Source organism: Homo sapiens, chromosome 10 (assembly GCF_000001405.40).
Source record: "Homo sapiens chromosome 10, GRCh38.p14 Primary Assembly".
NCBI lineage: Eukaryota > Metazoa > Chordata > Mammalia > Primates > Hominidae > Homo > Homo sapiens.
The window spans coordinates 22,315,793-22,333,321 of NC_000010.11; the positions used below are offsets into that span (position 1 = coordinate 22,315,793).

A 17,529-nucleotide genomic window follows, 5' to 3' on the forward strand; every position below is an offset into this window, starting at 1 on the left:
TGCAGGAAGGACACTACTGCCGTATTCCAGAAATGACAAAAAAAAAAAAGTAAAAATAAGCAAGAATCACATAATTAGATGTCTTACAGTCTCATAAAAGGGCAGTGCTGCGAGGTTAAGCTGGTGAGCTAAAAAACAAACAAAACAAACAAAAAACCACAAAAGCAAAATCCAGTTGCCTGAGATCGGAGCTTCCCGCAGGATTCGCGCAGAGCGAGGAGCGGGGAGGACGCCGTTTGCGGGAGGCGGGGGCCGGGATCCCGACACCGTCCGCAGTCTCCCCGGGGTCTCTCAGGGAACCGAGCTGGTGGCCGTCCGAGGTAAGCGCCGAACCAAGGAGAAAGCGCCGAGCGCGTCCACAAAACGCCCGAGGCCGCCCTTCTCGCCAAGGCTCGGCAGCTCCCGCGGCCTGCGCTGGACAAGCGAGAGCTGGACGGAAACGGTGGGAGGCCGTAGGCGGCGGCTGGGGGCGCGGGACCCGCGCGCGGGCGCGGAGGCGGGCGGGGAGGCCCCGCAGCCCGCGCCGCCGCCAGCCGCCCCGAGCCGCGTGCGCGCGCGGCCGCATCAGCTGAGCGCGCGGCGCGTGTCACGTGGTGTGCGTGTCGAAGGTCACGGCGCGCTCACAATGGAGCTCTCGGAGTCTGTGCAGAAAGGCTTCCAGATGCTGGCGGATCCCCGCTCCTTCGACTCCAACGCCTTCACGCTTCTCCTCCGGGCGGCATTCCAGAGTCTGCTGGACGCCCAGGCGGACGAGGCCGTGTTAGGTAAGCCGCTCGGCTCGGCTCGGAGCTGGATCCGCCGGGGTGGAGGGGCGCTCGGAGAAGAGGAGCCGGCGGAGCGAGAAGGGGAAAGCCCCGGGAAGAGGAAGTCTCCGGGCTTTGCCCTTCGCTCCGGACGGAGTGTTGGGGACGTGGCTCTGCCAGGACTCGGAGCAGACTCTGAGCATTGTTTTGGCCCCACTTGGCACCTGCATAGAGCCAACTCCACGTTCCTGGCCCGGTTTCCCTCCCAGTCTCTTTGTTCTTTTGTAAAGCCGGTGTTCAAGTCTTGTTTGTGGCCTAAACATCTAAGGTGTTTAGCCTTGTCTGAGGCTGCGGCTGTTTTGACAGTTGGACTTCATCTGGGGAGCTCCCTGCAATTCAAGCTTCCAGGGCTAGGCTAGCAAAGGTTTAAGGGTCTGTTTCCGAAGTAATTACTAGGTCAGACAGTGTTGACATTTGCCAACTTAGAGCATACCTCAAGTTGCTATGATCACTCCAGCGCTCTAGTTCAGCATGTTTACACAGGTTCTACGCCTAGAACCTTAAACTATGATGCACAATACTTTGTTCCGCCCCAGTTACCAGGATGCGAGTGTCTTTTAAGCGATCCGGTCAGTGACTGCGGAGGTGCAGTGTCAGTATGGATTGAAGACATATTTTAAGACCGATCGCTTTTAGATGATTTTCTTAAATATAAATATCCCAACAATTCAAATTTTTGTTTTTTTTCTGTAGTTTCATGAACTAAACACTTGTACAAAAAGTATGAAAGTGGAAGTTCTTAAACGAAAATAGTAACCACCACCTGGGTTAATCTCAAAAAAAAAATGACTGTCAAACCCTGAAAGTACTAATATAATTTTGAAATTTGTATCTTATATTCTGAACTCATGCCCTACCTTCTACCCCCTTGATGTATTTGTTCATGGAGCCGGTTACCCTAAACTCATCATTTTTAGGATGGAAGTTTATTCTAAAATTGACACAATGTAAAATATTTATCTTGTTTTTCCTTTGAATTTACTCCAGTGTTAGAATGACCATTGCATTGTTATATTTTCTTTGGGGGCTATAATATTTTTTAATAGTAAAAATATTAAGGCAAAATAAGTTAATTGAAGCTAGTAATAGTAGAGTTCTTGTTGTGTTCTTTTTATTGTTTTTCACTTGATCTTGTTGCTCATCTCATTTACTTATAATTGACTGTCCTTATAGTTGATGTTTTTAATCTTGTTAAAGGGTTTTTAAACCCAAATTAAAATATCCTTTTTGGAACATGACTGTAAAGAATTTATTATCATAGGCATCACTGGAAGTTAATTTATTTTAGATCATCCAGACTTGAAACATATCGACCCAGTGGTTTTAAAACATTGTCATGCAGCAGCTGCAACTTACATACTAGAGGCAGGAAAGCACCGAGCTGACAAGTCAACTCTAAGGTACAGGATTTATTTAAATATCCATTTATTTTCAAATACTACCTTAATGATTTCAATTTCAGTTTTAAAAATGGAGACAGAACTTTGGCTTTTTTTTTCTTTCTTCTAGCACTTATCTAGAAGACTGTAAATTTGACAGAGAGCGAATAGAACTGTTTTGCACGGAATATCAGGTTACTTACTTTAAAATTTTTAATTAACAGTACTATTTTTCTTTTACTTTGTTTGTAAAGATGTTTTTTTTTCTTTCTTTCTTGCTTTCTTTTTTCTCTCCAGAATAATAAGAATTCCCTAGAAATCCTACTGGGAAGGTAGGTACTGTATAAGGTGTCAAGCTGAGGCACTTTTCACTTGCAGGTATGAATGGAGAGTGTTGGTGTGAAACAAGATCTTCGGGATCTTGACCCAAAGAAAAGGAGCCAAAGGGCATGTCAAGCAATTGAAGTTAAGCTCATGTTTTTAAAGATCGTTTATTGAGATGATTTTGAAATGCTCCTTTACCATTCATAATTTAAAAATAAAGTTTAACAATGGTTTAAATTCAGAATGGATTAAAATGGAGTTGGGGGTGGAAAGTAGAGCCATTCTTAGTAAATATAAATAACTGAAAAGTTCTTCTGAGGAGACTATGTACGAAGTTATCATTGCATCTTTCAGTATAGGCAGATCTCTCCCTCATATAACGGATGTTTCTTGGCGCTTGGAATATCAGATAAAGGTAAAGTTTAAGAAACTTCTCTAGCGGGGGATTTAGGGAACTTCTTAAAACCTAGAGTTAAAAGCTGTTGCGTGTTTGTTGTGTTATTTTAGACCAATCAACTTCATAGGATGTACAGACCTGCATATTTGGTGACCTTAAGTGTACAGGTATTTATAGATAAGTCTTATCCAATAATGAAATTTATAATTTCATTGATTTAAATAAACAGCGTTTCTTGTTGCGTGTTTTTTTTCCTGCCCTAGAACACTGATTCCCCATCCTATCCAGAGATTAGTTTTAGTTGCAGCATGGAACAATTACAGGTACAGTATTAGGATCTATAAATATTCCTGTCTTTTTATAAATGTTTACTTGAGAGTTATACTCTTGGGAAGTTCAAAAGAAAATTAATCTAACCATTTGTCAGCAGATAATGAAGATTGGTTAAGGATTTAATGGGAAAGGGGCATCAAAAGTAGTATTTTAAGATAGGCTTCACTTGAAATTAAGATGTTATTAATAGAGAATTGGTCTGTATTTGCTGTTCTTGCTGATTGAAATAAACTTCTGTAGTGTTTAGTGTAAATTTCTTCTATTCATGATGAGTTTGGTCCAATAAGATAAACAAAATTAAGAGCATGGCTTTGAAAATGTCTTTGCTTTCAGAAATTGAATTAAACTGTCAAAATTGGATTTTGAAACTTTTTAAATGACTTTATAAAGGGGGAAGTATACATAACATTCTAAAACTGTTTATATTGCCCATTTAAGACTGGGAAAATTCAAAACTACATTTATTAGTGGATATGACAACGAATTTATTTCATAGTTTTTAAAAAATGAAGCTCATTACTGGAAATTTAAGTGAAATTGAATTTTTCAAAGGCATCTTCTGCAGAGTCGTTTTAATGTAACTATGAATCAAACTTTCAACTTTCAGAAAATGTGTATACAGCATAACCTTTGTTAGATAACTTGAGAAAATTCAGATGTATCTGGGCGGTTAAGGATCCGGTTAGAAATCATGTTTCAGTGTGAGGGCAAATAACCGATTTGAACATGAGGTATTTCCGAGGAAACGCTTTTTTTGCCCGATAGTAGTTTGTCAAAAGTTAAAATCTTGTTGAATTTTAAACTTGTTTGGAAGGTGTGTCCTGATTTTTTTTCTTGCATCTTTCTTGAGCTTGGATACTTCTTTCCATGTTTTATCCTAAAAACGTGGTATTGTATACACGTCTTTTAGGACTTGGTGGGGAAACTTAAAGATGCTTCGAAAAGCCTGGAAAGAGCAACTCAGTTGTAACTTGGGGAAGTTAACGATCCGCCCGAGTGCAGAGGAAAACCAGAAACGCCTTGCCTTCAGCTGAACCACCGTTTGTGCGAGCTGGATGTCCTTTTCAGTAGAAAAGAATTTTCCTTTTGAATTTATACCATTCATCAATTTTGACACTTTAAAAACGTGTGAAAGGGTTAAGAGGGAAAGATACTGCCCAAGTATTTGAATCGTTTAGTAGTAACTGTCCATTTATCCTATTTTGATCTTTTTCAAGTCTTCTGAAAGGAAGTAGACAGTATTACACCCTGAATAAATAAGGTGTTGTTTTCCACAAAGAGTGATGATATTTTGTTTGGATCTGAGTTCGTGTGTTATTACTTTGTGTGAAGCTAGATAGGAGTAGTGTGAACTTTTAACGATAGCCTTTTCTCAGGATTAAAGTTAAACACGGAGGAAACGATGCGATCTCCTGGGTTTGTCGCAGACCCCTGCTTCGGGGCTCCGGGGGCGGGCGCGGGCGGCTGCCCGGCCCGTTACCTGCGCCCGAGGGCTCGCCCACAGCCCGACCCTCGGCCGCCCGGTCCCGGCCCGGCGCGGAGCCCCTGCCCGGAGCCAGCCGTCGCCCGCGCGCGCCCCGCCTCGGCCGCCCGCGGGCGGGGAAGAGGCCGGCGCGGCCGCGGGCTGGCGGGCAGGGGCGGGCGCTGTTGTTTCCGCGAGCCCAACTTGGGCGCAGGTTCCGCGCCGCGGCGCCGGAGCCTGGGCCGCAGCCCGCGGGGCCGGCCGGGGGGCGGCGGCCGCGGGACGTATGCGCCCCGGGAGGAGGCGGGCGGCCGGGAGAAAGAAAGAACGGGGGGCGGGGTGGGCTGCGCGGCGTGCGGGGCCGGAGCGGCGGCCGCGCGGAGCAGGGCGGCGCGTGTGGCGCTGTGGAGAAATGTCTCCGCCGCCGCGGCGCGGAGCGAGGGAGGGGGCCGGGCGCGCGGCGCGGAGGGGAGGGGGCGGCCACGGGCCTGACTACACCGACACTAATTCCCAGGCCGCCCTTAAGGAATGAGGGGAGCACGTGACCCGCTGGGGGGGCGGCGGGGGGAGGGGGCGGGCGGACTCCGAGCCATTTTGGAGCCGGTGTCAGTTTCCACTCTGCCTTCAGCGGTGCATTTTTTTCCACCCTCCCCTCCCCCTCCTCCCCTCCCCCCGCTCGCACGCACACACACGGCGCCCCCCGCCCGCCCGCCTCCCCCACAGCAACTATGAAATAATCGTAGTATGAGAGGCAGAGATCGGGGCGAGACAATGGGGATGTGGGCGCGGGAGCCCCGTTCCGGCTTAGCAGCACCTCCCAGCCCCGCAGAATAAAACCGATCGCGCCCCCTCCGCGCGCGCCCTCCCCCGAGTGCGGAGCGGGAGGAGGCGGCGGCGGCCGAGGAGGAGGAGGAGGAGGCCCCGGAGGAGGAGGCGTTGGAGGTCGAGGCGGAGGCGGAGGAGGAGGAGGCCGAGGCGCCGGAGGAGGCCGAGGCGCCGGAGCAGGAGGAGGCCGGCCGGAGGCGGCATGAGACGAGCGTGGCGGCCGCGGCTGCTCGGGGCCGCGCTGGTTGCCCATTGACAGCGGCGTCTGCAGCTCGCTTCAAGATGGCCGCTTGGCTCGCATTCATTTTCTGCTGAACGACTTTTAACTTTCATTGTCTTTTCCGCCCGCTTCGATCGCCTCGCGCCGGCTGCTCTTTCCGGGTACGTAGGAGGCGAGGCGCCCCCGGGACGGGGCTGGGGGCCGGCGGGGGCCGCGCGGGGCTCGGGGCGGCCGCGGGTGGAAGGGGAGCCCCCCCCGCGCCCCGGCCGCGCCGCCGGGAGGGCGCTGACAGCGTGGGCGCCCGGCCCCGCGCCCCGCGCCGCCCGCCCCGCGCCTGCCGGCCCCGCGCGCCGCCCTCCCCGCGCCCGCGAGCGCGCGCCCGCCGCCGCCCGCCGACTCCCGCGGCGCCGGGACCGACCCGCAGCCCGCGCCGCGCCGCCGCCGCCAGCAGGGCTCGGCGCCGCTCCAGCCGCCGCCGCCCGCTCAGCCCCGGCGCGCCGCGCGCGGCCCCACGTTTTAGTTCCCCGCTCCCCCGGGCGCCCCTCCGCACCCTCGCGACGCACATGGCCCCCGAGAGGAGTACTGGTATTTCCAGCCTCGGCGGCTCTCCCGGCCGCAGCGCCCTTTGTTGAGAGGTAGATTTGGATGAAACGGGGACGGGTTCCTGAAATCGGGAGCTGCTTGGGTCAAGTGGCTTCCCTCCTCTCCCGAAGAAAGGGCTCTGGAGGGGCTCCAGCAGCCAGAGAACGCCCCCATTTTATAGGGACGGGTTGCGTGGGGGGCGGCCATCCCGCCAAGGTGGGTGTTAGGCTGGAGAGAGCCCCGACGAAAATGTTATTAACTTAAGTTGGGGGGACACTTGTCTGAGATTGGATGGCTGGTAAGATGGCGGTTCCCAGTTGTTTCCAAGGTCTCCTGCATTTGTGTTTAAAATGCTGAAGTTTTCAAGGTGGTGTGTGTTGGGAGTCTTGGATAAGTGCTCTGAACATCGCTTGGGAGGTGCTCCCTGGGAAGTGGGCATTTCAAATTTGGAGCTTTTTGTGGAGTGAAGATGGTGACTGGACGTTAGCTTTGCTGGAGGCTTGCTTTCTCACTACTTCTTTTTCTCCTTTTTCTTTTTTCCCCTTTTGGAGACTGCAACTTTTCTCTCGACTTCTACTAAAGGATGCACTCAGCATCATGACTCCAGTCCACTATCTTTTACAGGTTTTGCTAAATGTCAGCATAGGTCATTTGGCAAAGGGATGCTTTAGAAAAGAGCACTAAAAAGTTGATTGCATATGTTTACGCAGTCACTTGGGCTTGACAGTGATATGGCATGATCTTTTTCCCAGAGATTTACAGTTAATAATTGGAAGTAAACAAGTAGAGAGACTTTGATCATTACCACTTGCAATAAAAGGATTTAGTGGGCTTAGTGGTCACGGTTCAATATATGAAAGAGAAGCATGTATTAACCCCTTCCCTTAATGTGGGCAAAATTCCGAGCATATTTATCCAAATGCAAGTGTAGGTTGGTGGTGTGTACAACGTTATGAGTAGTTCAACCTATATTTTATAGGAACCTTAACTCCCATGTTCTGGAAACACATTATAAGCTACACTAAACAGTTGATATTTAAGGATGCAAATTATTGACAGTATATAACAAGTTATGAGACTCTATATGTTAACATTTGAGTTTTAAGTAGACCGATCAGAAATCCCTGGGATTGATTTTATAAACAAAATTATAAGTTTTTAGATTTGAGTTAATTCCATACATCTACCCCAAAGTGTAGTCAGAAGTGTTTGAAATAACCTACTTGTGTGAGTCTTATGCCTAGTAAAATATCTTTAAAGCCATATACAAGTCACTTTGTATGCATGTATACACATAAAGCTTTTGTAAGAAAATTAAGCATTTAATTGTACATGATAAATCCATTAATACTCTATCACTAACTTCTTGGATGTATGTTAAGTGTGCAGATAGGCTTTCTCCCCAGGAGTCAAATTAACCCCAACTTTACCCATGCTTATGTTGGGCTGTGAACCCCAACTGGGGCTATGGAGTTCATTTGCATTTCTTAGATTGCAGTAGGCAAGCTGATGGTTAACATAAGAACTTGCTTCTGTTTTCCTTCATTTTGACATTCCTGGTGTTAGGCCTCCACCTAAAAACTGACAGCCCCAACTGAGTGTGTTACAATGGCAAGTTTTAACGGTTGAGTATTTTTACCATGATATGTTTGGTGCATTTTTGTTTGCTTAACTGGCAGTTTCTGGGTTGGAACCTGGAAGGTTTTCACTTCTGAGGTGGAAGAGATTGTTTCTCAAATCTTATCAAGCACGTCAAACACTTTGGAAGTCTTCATTAGGTTGCCACTACTTTCAAAGGGCATAAAAACATAACTGATTTTTATATAAGTAACAGTGGTATTTATTAGCATTATAAATGGTCACAGGATTGTGGCCAAATTCTTCTGAACTGAGGTAGAGGAATTGTGTGAATTAAGACTTAAGATGAATTTGAAAGACTTTTGGTCAAGTACATGTGACTTAAATGCTCAAAGCCAACCGGTAGATAACCCTCCACTGAGGTTTGATTGTTCTCCTTGTTAATACTTGTCTTTGTGTGGTGTTGGTTTTCTGCAAGCTAGAGGAGAAATAAAGGCAGCTATTTTTATTGGAGCCCCTTCATGAACTTCGTGATCGGTGGTTTTTTAGTGCAGTATGCTTTCACAGGCAAACAGAAATATCAGCTTGCTATCTTTCTAGGAAAGATCCTGTGGTTTCACAAGGAGAATTTTCTTTAAGCACCAAGAAGGCTGTTCTTTAATTTACCAAGTATAATTTGATTTAAATATTGCTACTCTTTAGGGTCATTGCTCTACCTACAACTCCTCCGTGCCCCGCTTAGATTTATGTTAATATGTTGACAATATTCTCCAAAACAAGTAATCCAGAGATAACTGAGGAGTCAGTCACACAAGAAGTTTTCTGGTAGAGGTCGCCAGTTGCCACTGTGGTCACTTTCATAAGAGAGGCTTTGTTTTGTTTTTTACCATTTTCTAGAGGTTAGCTCTTAATTTCAGCCATTGAGCTGTGTTGATTGGTGTTTCCCTTTACTGCATTAATACACCTTAGGAATTAAAACCGCAGGTATATCTTACTGCAAGTTTCAAAAGGTCCTGGATTTCCATTCAAGGAAGATTTGAGAATGTACTTCAGTGAGGTCTGGAAGCTTAGTCTTATATCAGGTTCTGAAATGAATGAAGAAGGGGGGTTGAAGTTTATTTTTCAAGAATACTACACGAAGTATTTGACTTCCCTGACTGTCGGCTGGTGTATTGTTGCTGACAGTTCCCCATTGTGACTTTCCTGTAATAGAGGTATCTGTTGGGAATATCATTTCATCGTATGGGGGGTTTTACATTTGTTTTTCTCTCCTGTCGCTGCTTTGGGTTGACAAGCTGTTGATTTAGCGTTGGAAATGGGCTGGTCACATGGTTCTGTACATATTGTCACTATTGTACCGATTAAAGTACTTTTTCTTGCCCCCAGCATAGTTTGTCCAAATAAAACACTGGGCTTTGCCCTCTCCTCTTCTTGTAAAACAGATTTCAGTTTTCAGCCTTTCCAAAACTTTGTATCGCTCATTTAATCTACAGGAGAGCGTCACATTAGAGAAGGAAGTTTTAAAGAGGTTCGGTTCAATAAACATCTCTGCAATTTGAGCCCTGACGGTTTCGGGCTAAGTGCACAGTTGGCAATTCTCAAAAAATCCCTTCGTGAAATTTCTGACCGAGTGATTGCAGACAGGACAGACCGAGAGAGTCGAGATCTGAAACCAGCTCTGCGCACCAAGTCGACGTGAAAAGAGGCCCCCGGAGTGTCCGAAATGGCCGGGAGTGCGGTTTGCATTTTCCTTTCGCGGGCGCTGCCGCAGGCTCCGGGGTCCCCGCCGCCCAGGACTGGGTCCCTGGTCCCCGATCCCCGCTCCCCGCTCCCCAGCGCTGTGGCCTCGTGGGGCTGCCCCGCCCCCCCGGCGTCGCCGCACCCACCCCGCCCCCGCGCCGGCCCCGCCCCCGCGGCGCGCCGCCCCTCCCCCGCCCGCCCGCCCGCCCGCCGCCCCGCACGCCCGCCGAGGCTCGGGGCTCGGGCCGGGCTCCGCGCGGAGTTGCAGCGGTGGCCGGATGCCAAGTGTAAGTGTAAGTTGCTATGGAAACCCCGACCGAGGCGAGTTCCGAATCCGGAGCGAGACGGAGCCCCGGGCGCCGCCGGATCCGCCCCTCGCATCCCGGCCCCCGGGCGTCCGCCGCGCTCAGGCCCCGGCCCAGGCCGACTGGAGGTGCTCCTCCTGCGGCCCCAGCACCCGGCTCCGGAAATGCCAGGGATGCAGGGAGGGCAGAATTGTTTTCCCTGCGCGTCGCGTAAAAACGTGCCAGGTTCTGCTTGCTGGAACCGTCTAAAACAACCGGAACCCCGGATTTTCACTTGCAGATTCTTGAGGAAGTTTTATAATAAATTCGGAGACCTGGAACAAGCCCTAGTGGTTGGTAAATATCCGCGGGGATTGTGTGGCGTCTGCAGCAGCCTTGGGGCTGCTGGGCTGGAGGACAAATGGAAGAAAGAGACCCTAATACGCTCAGCTCCCAGCCCCCACCCCAGACTTTCTTCTACCTACAGGAATGATCTGAGAGACCAGAAGTAATGTTAGTTGGATCCTTTTGCATCAGTTTGGTAGAACTGATTCCGATCTGATGAGTAAATTCCTTCTGTAGAAACGTTAGGACAGCCCAGCTGTACAGTGTTAAATGAGTTTTATAAATTCAGTGTTTCAGGGTTTGTGATTACTAGATGATCTCCATTCTTGTTCTGTGAATTATGGCCATTATTTCTGTGTCTTGCAGGATTTTTTATCAAGCAGAAATGCATCGAACAACGAGAATCAAGATCACTGAGCTAAATCCCCACCTGATGTGTGTGCTTTGTGGAGGGTACTTCATTGATGCCACAACCATAATAGAATGTCTACATTCCTGTAAGTACCGAGCTTTAGCTCTCTTTTGTATCATGCGTATTTCACAGTTCGACCTGGAATTTGAAAACTGTTAATGATTCCTGCAATCTGTGGAAATGTTGGTACAAAGTGGTGAAGGCATTTTCTTCTCTTGCATCTAATGACTTTTTGTTAATATGTATTGATTGTATTACAAGCATGCAATATATGTGTTCTCAGGATATGAATTAGCTTATTTAGTTGGAAATGCCTTTCACCATCTTGTTTTCTACTAGTTCTGGGTTTCTAACACCAATGATTTATCCACTCATTTCTAAACATAAAAAAACTTCACATGTTCTACTTCTAGTCTGTAAAACGTGTATTGTTCGTTACCTGGAGACCAGCAAGTATTGTCCTATTTGTGATGTCCAAGTTCACAAGACCAGACCACTACTGAATATAAGGTAGGAAACTGTTGAAATTCCTTGTTTGTAATTATTATTGGAGTTGTATAATTTACTGAAGGCAACCCTCTTTATTTCTTCACAGAAAATTTACTCTTGAATACATAACTAATATGTGTGTGCTTTGTGGAGGGTAGCCGTTTAATTTCTTGCCATATTAATGGTGACCAAGTTTAGACAAAGTTTAGTAGTATTCAAGTGATTTTAAGATTTTTTTTTCCTAACTGTCCTTTAAAAACTGAGTTAGTTCACCTTTTTTGCATTGCTTTATGGACTTCATGACAGGCAGGAATAAATATTTAAAAGGGCTTCCATTCCTCTTTATTCCCTATTCATATTAGCTAGTTTAGTAACTTGAAAGGCACACTTCTTTTGACAGAGCAAATGTGAAGAATTTATTAGTGAATATAAAATATTTTTCTACTGATTTAAAAAGTGCTATATACAGAGAACTTTTATTCTCATAGTTTTTATCTTATCAATAATAGTTATAGACAGCATCACAATCAAGTAAAATATTATAGCACAAAAGAAGACTATAGAAACTTATGAACATTTTTAGTTCTTGCCATCTGAATTCATAGTTTTCTATTTTAATTATTTTTCAGGTCAGATAAAACTCTCCAAGATATTGTATACAAATTAGTTCCAGGGCTTTTCAAAAGTGAGTAACTTGCTTAGAAAATGAATTTAAAGAGATTATTCATTAGTTCTTTGTGTTATGCCAAATGTTTACATCTTTTTTCCCCATTCAGATGAAATGAAGAGAAGAAGGGATTTTTATGCAGCTCATCCTTCTGCTGATGGTAAACCTTTTAGGGGAGGGAAGACATTTTATATGGGGGGAGAGCTTATCTAGGAATTAAAATGTATTAAAATTGACTTTACCACTTCCATCCTCTTATATATAAAATTTATTAGGCATCTGATTTTTAAAAATTACATTTCACTATATCGTTATAGCTGCCAATGGCTCTAATGAAGATAGAGGAGAGGTTGCAGATGAAGATAAGAGAATTATAACTGATGATGAGATAATAAGCTTATCCATTGAATTCTTTGACCAGAACAGGTAAAATCTTTAGGCAATTTATTTTATGCTAATGTTTTATTAGATTGTTTCACTAATAAATTTTCTCTTTATTAGATTGGATCGGAAAGTAAACAAAGACAAAGAGAAATCTAAGGAGGAGGTATGTTTCATGTTACAAAAACATATAGAAGAAACATTGTTTGGAATCCAGATTTTATCAGGGATTGTGTTGCCCTTTAGAATATTAGGCTGTTAAATAGAAGAAAATGGTCATGTTTAATGTTTAAGAAAGGTCTACATGTGATATTTAATAATTAGAATTTATTTTATATATGATTGTTAGTCTTACAAAATATTTTAAGTAGTTCACAGTTAATACTTTGGTATGCTTGAAGATTATATTAGGAATCTGTTCATTTAGTATTTGTAATGATAGTAAACTCAGAGTGTAATTAGTTGAGAGGTTGGTCACCTCCAATTTTGTTTGATACTAGTATCTTTTATATTCAAGCAATCAAATTGAAACTTTCTTCATATCTTAAAGTAACTGAAAAAGTTACTTTTCTAAATGTACTTTTAGGTGAATGATAAAAGATACTTACGATGCCCAGCAGCAATGACTGTGATGCACTTAAGAAAGTTTCTCAGAAGTAAAATGGACATACCTAATACTTTCCAGGTATCTACTTTTATATTCTTCTTGCATTTTACATAGATTTTACAATTTTAATTACATTTTTCACTTTGGATTTTGAACCCAAAAAAGCAATAGAAAAAAAATGTGAAGTTAGTGCTAAAGTTGAAATTTATCTTAAAACATTTGGTATACATTCTCTTTTATGCTATGAAAACAAATCCCTTAACACTCTCTAGAAATAATTTTTTCTCATTTGAAGTTTCAGGAGTCTTTCTTTGTTAAAATGTTTGGAGAATATGTTTCTTAAAGCACTTTTGGATTATATTTAAATGACAAAAAATGTACATTTACCTTTGTTCTTTTATTACTTAATAAAAATATTTTTCACTAGATTGATGTCATGTATGAGGAGGAACCTTTAAAGGATTATTATACACTAATGGATATTGCCTACATTTATACCTGGAGAAGGGTAAGTAGCATATCTGTTGTTAGATTATGATGGTAAACTATATTTAAAGAATTAAGAGTAATTTTTTTCCTTTTAACTTTGTAGAATGGTCCACTTCCATTGAAATACAGAGTTCGACCTACTTGTAAAAGAATGAAGATCAGTCACCAGAGAGATGGACTGACAAATGCTGGAGAACTGGAAAGTGACTCTGGGAGTGACAAGGCCAACAGCCCAGCAGGAGGTATTCCCTCCACCTCTTCTTGTTTGCCTAGCCCCAGTACTCCAGTGCAGTCTCCTCATCCACAGTTTCCTCACATTTCCAGTACTATGAATGGAACCAGCAACAGCCCCAGCGGTAACCACCAATCTTCTTTTGCCAATAGACCTCGAAAATCATCAGTAAATGGGTCATCAGCAACTTCTTCTGGTTGATACCTGAGACTGTTAAGGAAAAAAATTTTAAACCCCTGATTTATATAGATATCTTCATGCCATTACAGCTTTCTAGATGCTAATACATGTGACTATCGTCCAATTTGCTTTCTTTTGTAGTGACATTAAATTTGGCTATAAAAGATGGACTACATGTGATACTCCTATGGACGTTAATTGAAAAGAAAGATTGTTGTTATAAAGAATTGGTTTCTTGGAAAGCAGGCAAGACTTTTTCTCTGTGTTAGGAAAGATGGGAAATGGTTTCTGTAACCATTGTTTGGATTTGGAAGTACTCTGCAGTGGACATAAGCATTGGGCCATAGTTTGTTAATCTCAACTAACGCCTACATTACATTCTCCTTGATCGTTCTTGTTATTACGCTGTTTTGTGAACCTGTAGAAAACAAGTGCTTTTTATCTTGAAATTCAACCAACGGAAAGAATATGCATAGAATAATGCATTCTATGTAGCCATGTCACTGTGAATAACGATTTCTTGCATATTTAGCCATTTTGATTCCTGTTTGATTTATACTTCTCTGTTGCTACGCAAAACCGATCAAAGAAAAGTGAACTTCAGTTTTACAATCTGTATGCCTAAAAGCGGGTACTACCGTTTATTTTACTGACTTGTTTAAATGATTCGCTTTTGTAAGAATCAGATGGCATTATGCTTGTTGTACAATGCCATATTGGTATATGACATAACAGGAAACAGTATTGTATGATATATTTATAAATGCTATAAAGAAATATTGTGTTTCATGCATTCAGAAATGATTGTTAAAATTCTCCCAACTGGTTCGACCTTTGCAGATACCCATAACCTATGTTGAGCCTTGCTTACCAGCAAAGAATATTTTTAATGTGGATATCTAATTCTAAAGTCTGTTCCATTAGAAGCAATTGGCACATCTTTCTATACTTTATATACTTTTCTCCAGTAATACATGTTTACTTTAAAGATTGTTGCAGTGAAGAAAAACCTTTAACTGAGAAATATGGAAACCGTCTTAATTTTCCATTGGCTATGATGGAATTAATATTGTATTTTAAAAATGCATATTGATCACTATAATTCTAAAACAATTTTTTAAATAAACCAGCAGGTTGCTAAAAGAAGGCATTTTATCTAAAGTTATTTTAATAGGTGGTATAGCAGTAATTTTAAATTTAAGAGTTGCTTTTACAGTTAACAATGGAATATGCCTTCTCTGCTATGTCTGAAAATAGAAGCTATTTATTATGAGCTTCTACAGGTATTTTTAAATAGAGCAAGCATGTTGAATTTAAAATATGAATAACCCCACCCAACAATTTTCAGTTTATTTTTTGCTTTGGTCGAACTTGGTGTGTGTTCATCACCCATCAGTTATTTGTGAGGGTGTTTATTCTATATGAATATTGTTTCATGTTTGTATGGGAAAATTGTAGCTAAACATTTCATTGTCCCCAGTCTGCAAAAGAAGCACAATTCTATTGCTTTGTCTTGCTTATAGTCATTAAATCATTACTTTTACATATATTGCTGTTACTTCTGCTTTCTTTAAAAATATAGTAAAGGATGTTTTATGAAGTCACAAGATACATATATTTTTATTTTGACCTAAATTTGTACAGTCCCATTGTAAGTGTTGTTTCTAATTATAGATGTAAAATGAAATTTCATTTGTAATTGGAAAAAATCCAATAAAAAGGATATTCATTTAGAAAATAGCTAAGATCTTTAATAAAAATTTGATATGAAAAGCACAATGTGCAGAAGTTATGGAAAACCTATAGAGGATTACAACAGGTAAACGTTAAAGAGAATACATTGCTGACTTATAGTGATGTGGCTAAGAAGTACATGCTTTGTTGTAAAATTGCTTGAAAGCCCATTGAAAGATGTATCTGTTTATTTACAGTCTTTGAAGTAAAAGTTACCAATGTTTGCCAATTTTGGTGAATTTAACTCATTTTCTAGGCTTAAGTTTTTCATGATGTTTAAGACAAAGAAAAGTTAATGGAAGTGTCAAGTGATATTTTTACCTTGGATGATCATTTGTATAAAGAATGAAAAAATATTTTTAAAAGGCTAAAAACTTTAAATGCTAGTGGACTGTCATTTGACTTACATAAAACCAAGTTATCAACATGGAATTCAAATTTTACATCTCAATCTCTTTATGATGAATTTATTTTTGAAATTGCTTATTAATCAGATACTGCAGTTATGGCTTACTTAGCACTAACCATATGTGAAAATGTTTCCATTTATTTGAAAAATGATTTTTTTTCCTCCTCAATTAGAAAATGGCATAAGCTTAAAAGCATATTTCAGCCAAAATTTTTTCTGTTAATGAAAGATTATAATGTTTTGTATTCTTAAATAAGCAGCTATTACAGTTTGACAATTGAGATTAAAAACCTTTGCTAAATTACCATGTTAGAAATTTTCAACCTTATGAAAACCCATATCAAAAGCTGCTAACTTTGTAACTTTTAGTAGTCAAAGCAGGGTACAGGAAAAGTCAGCTTTAAGTTTGACTTTTGCTTCTGAAAATATTCTAGAACACAAAGTTAGTGCTAACAAAATATTTCAGAGAAAATGCCTAAATTGATTTTACAGATTTTTAGCTTAAATGCAAAGAGAAAAATGAGGCTGGTTGCTGTTGTGTAAATAGTGATCTATCTTGCTTTACACATGCATACCATTTTACAAGTACTTTTTGCTTTTAAAATTGCCGGCCGTTAATTGCACTGCATTGAAAAAACAACTGCCCTTCAGTTGTCTCAACCTTCCAACCATATTGCTATTTCCATATCCATACGTGATAATATTTGGACCTCTGGAGGGAAAATGCAACAGGCAGAGTAAGCTGGTAGGAACTTTCCTTCATCCTTTCCTCTTTTCCGAATATTTTGAAGGTGCAGTTAATTTGTGAAGTCTTGTTACACTCATTGTATGGGCCTATTAAGGTTTTGTTATGAAAACAATAGGAACTTAAATACCCATGTGAAATGCGCCTTGCATTGACCAACACGAAAGGAGGACGTTTGGTATTTTAAAATAGTTTATTTTATGGTATCTTTTGAGGGGATAGGATTTACTTTTAGAAACAATCTACACATGGAATCCAGTCTCTTAAAATCCTGGGGTGAAGCAATTGTTAATTTTTCCATTTCTCTTTGTATTTTAAAGGTTTGATAAATGATTTAGATCTTTTTCTTCCTAATACACGAAGAATGATAGTTGGAAATTCTGATTTAGTTTAGTACTTAGTCAGAATGGAGGCCCCATAAGATTTTTAAAATACTTTGGCTGTTTTCCCCACACAGTCTTCATTGCATTTTATCCAAAACAAAAAGGTCTTGATCAAATTACATGAAAAACGACTAGACATCATTTTAGATCTGTGCTGCATCTAACAGTATACTAATTAAAACCTTTCAAAAACCGTCTATGCCTCTAAGACACTAATTTGGTGCAAAGATCACTGAACCCAGCTCCAACTTAAAGCTCTTGAGATACATGATTTCACTTTAGGATGTTTCTTCATGTACAAAATGAACACAAACACAGGTGATAATTTCTAAGGTTGCTCTAAAAAAATTGACTCCTCAAAAAAAAGCCCTTGAACTAAATTAGGACCACAAACTTCAAAGCGAGGAGCCGAGTTCTTTACAAGGAATAGAAGGAGATATCCATATATTCCAGCCTTGCAGAGAATCAGATTTGCAAATACCCACCGCGAAGACCTTGAGCCAGCCGATCTCCCTGCAAATCTCAAGAT

General features: G+C 42.1%; 3 protein-coding genes across 7 annotated transcripts, besides 6 other annotated features; all 3 read left to right on the forward strand.

The window, feature by feature from the left end:
* Positions 454–573: a silencer, noted in NCBI's record as "silent region_2204". NCBI's record gives its function as "represses an Ori minimal core promoter by ATAC-STARR-seq in GM12878 lymphoblastoid cells {active_cell/tissue: GM12878}" and the evidence as "EXISTENCE:reporter gene assay evidence [ECO:0000049][PMID:35858748]".
* Positions 596–4,514, forward strand: COMMD3 (COMM domain containing 3). Its single transcript, NM_012071.4, has 8 exons — positions 596–764; positions 2,092–2,203; positions 2,313–2,376; positions 2,480–2,514; positions 2,861–2,921; positions 3,014–3,070; positions 3,167–3,226; positions 4,147–4,514. The coding sequence occupies exons 1-8, from the start codon at positions 626–628 to the stop codon at positions 4,204–4,206; spliced, it is 588 nt and encodes a 195-aa protein (NP_036203.1). The 5' UTR covers positions 596–625; the 3' UTR covers positions 4,207–4,514.
* Positions 596–15,692, forward strand: COMMD3-BMI1 (COMMD3-BMI1 readthrough). The gene is made up of 14 exons (NM_001204062.2): positions 596–764; positions 2,092–2,203; positions 2,313–2,376; positions 2,480–2,514; positions 3,167–3,226; positions 10,639–10,769; positions 11,098–11,194; positions 11,803–11,858; positions 11,950–12,000; positions 12,158–12,266; positions 12,342–12,387; positions 12,808–12,906; positions 13,256–13,336; positions 13,421–15,692. The coding sequence occupies exons 1-14, from the start codon at positions 626–628 to the stop codon at positions 13,748–13,750; spliced, it is 1,410 nt and encodes a 469-aa protein (NP_001190991.1). The 5' UTR covers positions 596–625; the 3' UTR covers positions 13,751–15,692.
* Positions 844–1,143: an enhancer, noted in NCBI's record as "active region_3129". NCBI's record gives its function as "activates an Ori minimal core promoter by ATAC-STARR-seq in GM12878 lymphoblastoid cells {active_cell/tissue: GM12878}" and the evidence as "EXISTENCE:reporter gene assay evidence [ECO:0000049][PMID:35858748]".
* Positions 4,792–5,051: a silencer, noted in NCBI's record as "silent region_2205". NCBI's record gives its function as "represses an Ori minimal core promoter by ATAC-STARR-seq in GM12878 lymphoblastoid cells {active_cell/tissue: GM12878}" and the evidence as "EXISTENCE:reporter gene assay evidence [ECO:0000049][PMID:35858748]".
* Positions 5,112–5,281: a silencer, noted in NCBI's record as "silent region_2206". NCBI's record gives its function as "represses an Ori minimal core promoter by ATAC-STARR-seq in GM12878 lymphoblastoid cells {active_cell/tissue: GM12878}" and the evidence as "EXISTENCE:reporter gene assay evidence [ECO:0000049][PMID:35858748]".
* On the forward strand, positions 5,307–15,914 carry BMI1 (BMI1 proto-oncogene, polycomb ring finger). Of its 5 annotated transcripts, NM_001428311.1 has the most exons (11): positions 9,832–9,936; positions 10,229–10,284; positions 10,639–10,769; positions 11,098–11,194; positions 11,803–11,858; positions 11,950–12,000; positions 12,158–12,266; positions 12,342–12,387; positions 12,808–12,906; positions 13,256–13,336; positions 13,421–15,914. In NM_001428311.1, exons 3-11 carry the CDS (start codon positions 10,658–10,660, stop codon positions 13,748–13,750), a joined length of 981 nt encoding a protein of 326 aa, NP_001415240.1. In that variant the 5' UTR covers positions 9,832–9,936; positions 10,229–10,284; positions 10,639–10,657; the 3' UTR covers positions 13,751–15,914. The 5 variants fall into 5 exon arrangements, with proteins under 5 accessions (NP_005171.4, NP_001415238.1, NP_001415240.1 ...); NM_005180.9 differs by lacking the exons at positions 9,832–9,936; positions 10,229–10,284 and adding an exon at positions 5,307–5,904 and having other exon boundaries at positions 13,421–15,692; NM_001428309.1 differs by lacking the exons at positions 9,832–9,936; positions 10,229–10,284 and adding an exon at positions 6,164–6,378.
* Positions 5,472–5,671: a silencer, noted in NCBI's record as "silent region_2207". NCBI's record gives its function as "represses an Ori minimal core promoter by ATAC-STARR-seq in GM12878 lymphoblastoid cells {active_cell/tissue: GM12878}" and the evidence as "EXISTENCE:reporter gene assay evidence [ECO:0000049][PMID:35858748]".
* Positions 9,745–10,124: a silencer, noted in NCBI's record as "silent region_2208". NCBI's record gives its function as "represses an Ori minimal core promoter by ATAC-STARR-seq in GM12878 lymphoblastoid cells {active_cell/tissue: GM12878}" and the evidence as "EXISTENCE:reporter gene assay evidence [ECO:0000049][PMID:35858748]".
* Positions 15,915–17,529: the final 1,615 nt, after the last annotated feature.

Excerpts from the sequence above, each read along its gene's own strand:
- COMMD3 (NM_012071.4), top strand. The coding sequence starts at position 626 with ATGGAGCTCTCGGAGTCTGTGCAGAAAGGCTTCCAGATGCTGGCGGAT. Across the intron at positions 2,204-2,312 it reads GCTGACAAGTCAACTCTAAG|CACTTATCTAGAAGACTGTA; the intron begins GTACAGGATTTA and ends TCTTTCTTCTAG. Across the intron at positions 2,377-2,479 it reads TGTTTTGCACGGAATATCAG|AATAATAAGAATTCCCTAGA; the intron begins GTTACTTACTTT and ends TTTTCTCTCCAG.
- COMMD3-BMI1 (NM_001204062.2), top strand. The coding sequence starts at position 626 with ATGGAGCTCTCGGAGTCTGTGCAGAAAGGCTTCCAGATGCTGGCGGAT. Across the intron at positions 765-2,091 it reads GGCGGACGAGGCCGTGTTAG|ATCATCCAGACTTGAAACAT; the intron begins GTAAGCCGCTCG and ends AATTTATTTTAG. Across the intron at positions 12,907-13,255 it reads ACATACCTAATACTTTCCAG|ATTGATGTCATGTATGAGGA; the intron begins GTATCTACTTTT and ends ATTTTTCACTAG.
- BMI1 (NM_005180.9), top strand. The coding sequence starts at position 10,658 with ATGCATCGAACAACGAGAATCAAGATCACTGAGCTAAATCCCCACCTG. Across the intron at positions 12,001-12,157 it reads AGCTCATCCTTCTGCTGATG|CTGCCAATGGCTCTAATGAA; the intron begins GTAAACCTTTTA and ends ATATCGTTATAG. Across the intron at positions 12,388-12,807 it reads AAGAGAAATCTAAGGAGGAG|GTGAATGATAAAAGATACTT; the intron begins GTATGTTTCATG and ends ATGTACTTTTAG.